This window comes from Homo sapiens, chromosome 2, assembly GCF_000001405.40.
Source record: "Homo sapiens chromosome 2, GRCh38.p14 Primary Assembly".
Lineage (NCBI taxonomy): Eukaryota > Metazoa > Chordata > Mammalia > Primates > Hominidae > Homo > Homo sapiens.
The window spans coordinates 140,176,171-140,183,284 of record NC_000002.12 but is presented as its reverse complement, the minus strand read 5'-3'; the positions used below and the strand labels follow the sequence as shown (position 1 = coordinate 140,183,284).

General features: G+C 39.0%; 1 long non-coding RNA gene across 1 annotated transcript; it reads right to left on the bottom strand.

The window, feature by feature from the left end:
• Positions 1-2,164: 2,164 nt before the first annotated feature.
• Positions 2,165-4,829, bottom strand: LOC107985822 (uncharacterized). Its single transcript, XR_001739215.1, has 3 exons — positions 4,493-4,829; positions 4,064-4,108; positions 2,165-3,602 (listed from the first exon to the last, which is right to left on the bottom strand). It is a non-coding gene; the product is annotated as an uncharacterized LOC107985822 (long non-coding RNA).
• Between the last annotated feature and the right edge of the window lie 2,285 nt (positions 4,830-7,114).

Sequence of the window (7,114 nt, the reverse complement as noted above, 5' to 3'; positions counted from 1 at the left end):
TTCCTATTGGAGAATTGAGCAGTAAAAACAATCCACAGTAGCCACAGGATGTCTCAGCAGCAATCCTCGTGGCTGGCTCTGCTTCCTGATTAGTGAATCCCTGCAGACACCATGATACTCTGGACCAGAACAAACTCTCTGCTGCTCCCCAAACCCGTGGAATACCTCACCCTACACCTCCGTGTCCACTCTAAATTCCTCTAAGCACAAATTCCTCCTGTGCAGGACAGGACACTTCCCAGTAGCTCTGTAAACTTGGTAGATTCTTTCTCCAAGGTAATCCAGGCTTATTTTACTTTCAAACATTTTGCAGAAATCTGTATTTCTTGGACACCAACTACTATCAGCAAAGGCTATTTCTTCAACTGATATTTTTTGAGCACCTACTTTGTGCCAAATATTGTTGTAGGAACTGAAGGTATAGCAATAGGCAAAATAGACAAGGACTTGTAGTCCTGTGGTTTAATGGAGTGGGTAAATGAGAATCAATTAAATGAATACCTATACATGTCAGATGTTATTCAATTCTGCGAAAGAGAGAGATAAAACAGGAGAGAAGGACAGTCTGTCTGTGGAGAATGTTTAAATTGGGTGGTTGGAGAAAGTTCCCCAAAGTAGAGGTTTTTAGAACAAACCTATGATGGTTGTGAGAGAGTGAACCAGGCTACCTTCTGGGGTGAAGAGCATAATGATATGGAACAAAGGATATAAATGAATCAGTCCTGGTAGTCTTCTACCAGAGAGCAATAAGAGTGAGAGGAATGTGATTCTTGCCAGGAATACACACAACTGCTCCTTCTCAAGAAGTTGTAAACTACAGGAACTTGTCTTCCTTGCCACAGTGGCCCATCTGAACCACTCAATAGGCATGACTGCTCTCCTGTGGCCACACAGAGGCTTCCTAACCCAGGCTGTCTTCACCACCTCCAGTCTTTCTTACCTCTCTCTTCACTTCCCACCTGTCTGCTCATCATCCCTATGATTTTCTAGTACCTCTTTGAAGGTGCTATCTGCAGTAGTTCACTATTGCAAGGGCCTCTTGTTCCTACAGTTCTGGCTCCTTCACATCCTCCACACAGCCTTCAGCGCTCAACAGAAAATGAATCTTACAGTACCTCTCCTCTTGAAATCTGGCAATGCCTGTTACTCAGGAGGGAGCAGAGACTCCTCAGAGGAATAGTCACAGTCCACCAGGCTCTCACTTCGGCAATGTTCTGGACTCAGGACTCAGTCTCCCTGCCCCTTACTTTACACTAGAGTTACAACAATCATCTTGGAGTCCCATTATGTTCATGCCCTCAATGCCTCTAGTCCCACTTTGCTTTGCTTTTCCTCCTCTATCCCCTTCTGGAAGGTTCCCTGACACTATTCTCCCAGACTATGTTGAGAATCTCTCTATTATTCTCTTGCAATTCTTTGTGCTGAGAATTATTATTGAATTTGCCTATTTAGATTATACTTGTTTTACTATCTTTATTATATGCATTATGTCTGCTACCACCCCTCAACTAAATAAACAAATAAAAACACATAAGCAAGCAACAACAACAAAATGATGACATTTTACCCTCAGTCTTTTAGTACCATTTCTGACACATTTTGAATTGAAGGAGTGACTGAAGGAATGATCAAGCTTGCCAATAGGAACTGTACATCAAGGATAGTGGAAGGGATGGAATTAAAAGAAAATACCTCAGTCAGAGGCTGCTATTATGGAAGAAGCTGTTATACTATCTTAAATATATTTATAAAAGTGATCTGAATGATGCAGACAAAATAGTGTAATGGGTCATTACAGAATTTCTTGAAAATAATAAAGAATGGCCTGCAGGTGACAGCATTTATTTGTTCATTCATTTTCTTCCAAATATATTTTATGACCTCCTCCCGTGAGTCAAGCAGCTTTCCAGGCATTGGGAAGAAAATGGTGAGCAAGAAATTGTTTCTTGTTTTCATGGAGTTTAATGTCATATGAGTGAAACAAACATAAAATGAAGAAACACACTGAGATTTTGACGCTAAAGTAAAGCAATATGGTCCTTAGAAAACAAATAACCAAGGAATATGATCAAGTTTAAGGAGACTAGGAAACATTTTGACATAAAGTGATTACTGAGTCAAGAGCCAGAAAATGCTAAGAGTTAACTGGGCTGAGATTGGAATCATAGAAGAAAACCAAAGTGAGAGAAAAGAAGTAAGAACATAGGGGCATTTGAACCCCATGGAAGAGAGTAAAGGCAAGTAGAATATTGGTATGTTAGAGGAGGGTGGAGAGAGGCATTGGCTTGAGAGTAATGCTTACAACAGCTAACCTTTTTTGGTTTATTGAGCACTCATTATGTGTCAGATATTGTGCTAAATGTTTCTACATTTTATTTTTATTTAATAATGACAAAATCTACGAGGAAGTATAATTACTTTTTCCATTTTGTGTATAGTGCAACCATATCTATGAAATGTTAGGAAATGGGCTTATAGTCTCAGCTACTAAATGGCACTGCCCAAATTAGAAACTGTAAACCATGTCTCTAGAATCAATAGTCCAGGGCTGGGAGGTCAGAGAAGGCTGAGCTCATTCAGCTGTGGGCTCCAAGAACTGACTGTTGCTTGAATAAAATTTCATGTATTTACATTTGAGAGGAGCTTTCCCACCTGAAACTGTGTCCTACTTCCTATGAAAGGTGAAACTGGAAGGATAAAATATAAGGAATCGATGACATATTAGTTGAGAGTATAATCTCATTCTCCATCTTCTTACCAAAGAGAGATTCCTGGCCATCAGGAAAAAAAGACATATAGTATTTTAATGCATGCTATAATATTTCTTTGGCAACTCTAGATTCTGTGGATTTCAAGGATACCAGCAGAGACATTGCTGGCATCCTGCTCTCTAGCCTTTTTCCCCATGACAATTCACTTCCTTCCCTGAAACAGTCAATTCCACTCAGCTAACACAGTAACTGAGGCAGGCCTCTAAGAGGCTGTGAGAGGACAAAGGAGTGGGATGTGACTGGTGGCTTCAGATGTCACCCCTTGTTATGATGGTCCGCTGTGAGCCCTGTGGCTGGATAACACAGCCCAGCTTTCGTGCCCTTACATTGTAGGAAATCGATATGGAGACACCCTAAATGTGTCCTGAAGAGAATAAGATATATGTGTGTGTGTGTGTGTGTGTGTGTGTGTGTTCTGTGTCCCAACACAGCAAATAAATTCAATGCACCAGATTCTCCAGATAAGTGACACAATTCACTACAAGGGTGGTTGCTAAAATGTTCTGCCTCTCTCCTTAGAAATCCACAACAGAATGAGGAGAAAGGAAGCCTTAAGTGTGGCTTCTAAAATATCCAAGGGTGATTTGACCGCCTACTTTGATAATTGCTGTTACTGGCCCAGGTCTCAGCTCTTACAAACGATGCCCCAGTAATGAGATACTTACCAGACAGAAGTACCTTGGGGACTCTGAGGTGAGCCGTTGGCATTCATGGTTCTCTTCATTGTGTATGGTCCTTTCTTTTCATGGAGGCTCCATTTCCTCAGACACTACCAGGCATTTCTCTTATTGATCTCCCCTTTTCTCGCCATGCAGTTTCTTCACTGAAGCACTAGTTAACATTAAACACTTGCATTTTTACATCAGCATTTCATTTAAAAATAATTATATGAGGAAATGATCAATGTTATACAACCTCAGTCATTTTGCAATGAATGAGAAAATACTTATGGCTTTTAACGATTAGAGAAATAATTTATGTGATTAAAATCATTTTCCAATATTCTTTTGGTTAAAATATTTAAGTATGTGCTTTTTCAGCTTGGATAAATAAATGAAGTCAGGTAAAATGCAAATCAAAGACTGAATGAAAATAAATAATTACTGTGCAGCATTTTTTTGGGGGGAATGGGGGCACACTTTCTCTTTTCATTTGCTAGAAGAAGAGAAAGATTTGTTGCTATGAAGATTATGTGATTTCAAATTCTACACCAGACAGGGATTACTCCAAGTTTAGCAGAACACGTTTTTGCACTGAGTACTCAAAACCTATGAATAGGAGCACATTTCTACCTGAGATTCATTGCAAGTCAGTTTCACTGCGTGGAGAGCACATGCCTGGAAAAGAAAAAGCCTGTTTACTGACAAATTACATTATTAAATATTCTAAAACAAAAACAGAAAAGTAAAAAGCCAAAAACAAAAACAATTACAATGCACGCTTCTGAGGACCGGTGTTACAAGATTTGACATATAGCAGTAGGTTTTTTGTTGTTGTTGTTATTTTTAAAATGATTTCCAGATTTTTTTTTATTTTACTTATGAGCCCAAAGTCTGGATTAAAAGTTAAACCAGTTTTGCATGTATGTGTTATAGTTAGTAAAGTTAAAATAAATGACACATTTTAACACTTTCTTACATAAACAGACAGAAAGTTAGCAAAACTTTAACTAGTGTGATGATGAACTGTAATTTCTAGTGGAGGTTTAGGGCTACACTTACCATCAACCAAATTGGGAAATGGTCATGATCCCTGGCATTGCACCAAACAAACAAGACAGACATGCTAATTTGAAAAACGATGCCTTGCTGCTGTCTTGTCCTGGTTTGTAGTTATAATTTTAGTCTTGGTCTAGCCACTGTGGACCCCCATGCAGCCTTCAACTTCCAAGAAAAGAGGCAGTTGTTGCTTTTCTTCCCAAACCTCAGTAATTTCCGTGCTGGCTTTATTCCACCTCTTTGATAGTCAGGGTGTTCCAGGGTTTTCACAGTCCTCGAAACTCATTTCAGAAAGCCCCTTCAGGAGATACCCTGGCAGGAAGTCTGGACTATGCATCAAAATATTGCCATAAAACTCAAGTTTTATTGCTATTGTTCCTATAATAGGAAACTCTTATATGTTTATCCTGTATGCTATCATGCTGGAAATGTTTAAAGTATGTTTGGCAGAATCATGCCAACAGCTTTTAATGGCATGCTCAAAATAAGTGTTGGCCCGGCATCAAATCTCTCCAGCCCTACTTCTGTCCACCCAGATACCTCTAACAAATGGTCTGAATTCACTACAGAAGATTGAGAGAGAAAACAAACACAAAATAAATAAATAGTACCCAGGAGGATTTTCACTTTGTTTTCTGTTAGTGAGATTTTGATTTTATTTTGGTTTTGTAGAATCCAACAAATAGGGTTCTGGGTTATTTGTTCATAAGAAGAGGAGTGTATTCAGTCACGTACAACGTGCTCCTCTCCGTCTTTTCCTGAGCTTTCCCTTTCACGATGGATTCTAAGGGGTGATGTTAACTGTGGATATTTCTCTTGGTTCTTTAATCCAGATGTTTGATACTTTTGCCGGTCTTGATTCTTAAGTTTTGTGTTATGCATGTAATATTTAGTTCTTAGCATTTTTCTGTTGTGAAGAGTAAGTGGATCCATGAATTTGCAGTGCCTAAAACAGTTCACACACTGAGTCTTGGATAAGTATTAGATTTTTATCTTTAGTACCAATAATCTTTATTATAGATTCACTACTCCTTCATTTGTGCTCATTTTCTTAAATGGCCCTCACCTTAAACTCTTTAAACTTTAGTGCATACCCAGGCCTGTTGTGAAGATTCTCTAATTATGTATTAGCAGATGAGAATAATTTGTGTGTTCATTACTAGAGGTATTAGTATTGAAAAACATTCCATGTCAGGACTGCTTAAGTCTTAATATTATAGATTCATCCACTCCATCTATTCTAAAGACTGGTCTTGTTTCATGCATAAAAGGATTTGACTGCTTGGACCAGTAAATTCAGTTACAGTATATAGACAAACTTATAAAGTTTTCTGGTTAGAATTTATGGGTTGTTTTACTCTGTTGAGCAGTCATGATTTTAAAAGACACAAGATCACAACTCTCAAGGTTGAATAATCACTGGTGGTGCCCTGATGAGCCAAAATGTCACAATCAGGCTAAATAGCATATGCGCTTGACCCAGCTGTCAGATGTTATTAATAGGCTGACTTAAAAAATGAAAGCAGTAGGGGTGTCATCGACATTTTGAGGCCCATATGCCCATATGCCTAATGCAGTAAAACACCTGCCATGGCTAGTTTCTGGTTCCAAGCGAAGTAAATCAGCCTACACTTCCCTCAACAGTTAAAAATACATCAACACCTACTCAGAATTTTACCTGTGCCATAACCCTCAGGCTATCACCTCTTCCCCTCCAAACTGCTTGTGATCCAAGGTAAAACAACTGTTTCAATTCTTCACACCTCTGGAGCAAACTTTCTAGTGTGTATTCCCTTGCTGTATGTGTGTGCGTGCGTGTGTGTGTGTGTGTGTGTGTGTGTGTGTGTGTGTGGAGAATGAAAGAGAACGAGAACTAGACTCTTCATATTTTGTTATCTACAGAGTTTATGAAGTTGAGGTAGAAAGTCTGTGCACTTACTACATAGACACCAATAAGGATTTGGAAGATCCTATTTAAAAATGTTAAATTGTGTTAACAATGAGATATATCAGAAAGTAACTCAAAACTTATAAACTGTTGTTTGTTGACCCTTAGGACTTCTATATAGAGAATAATGGGAGTTGATATTTTTCTTATGACAGGATAAAATATACCTCTTCCAGAAGAGTCTGAAAGTTCACCTTTATTCAGATTCTTTGGGTGATAGTCTAAAGTCATTTTGGCCAGGCACAGTGGCTCACGCCTGTAATTCCAGCATTTTGGGAAGCCGAGGCGGGCGGATCACGAGGTCAGGAGATTGAGACCACCCTGGCTAACACGGTGAAAACCTGTCTCTACTAAAAAAAAAAAAAAAATACAAAAAAATTAGCTAGGCGTGGTGGCATGTGCCCTGTAGTCCCAGCTACTCGGGAGGCTGAGGCAGGAGAATCGCTTGAACCCTGGAGGTGGATGTTGCAGTGAGCTGAGATTGCACCACTGCACTCCAACCTGGGTGACACAGCAAGACTCGGTCTCAAAATAAATACATACATAAATAAATAAAGTCATTTCACTTTACATGACTTTATTTAAAAGGGAACTATTCAAGTTGTTGGTCATTCTGTGGGGGAAATTCACTAAGAGTCATTGTGGTAGGGCTGAGAAGATGGGAGTTTTATCAAGAT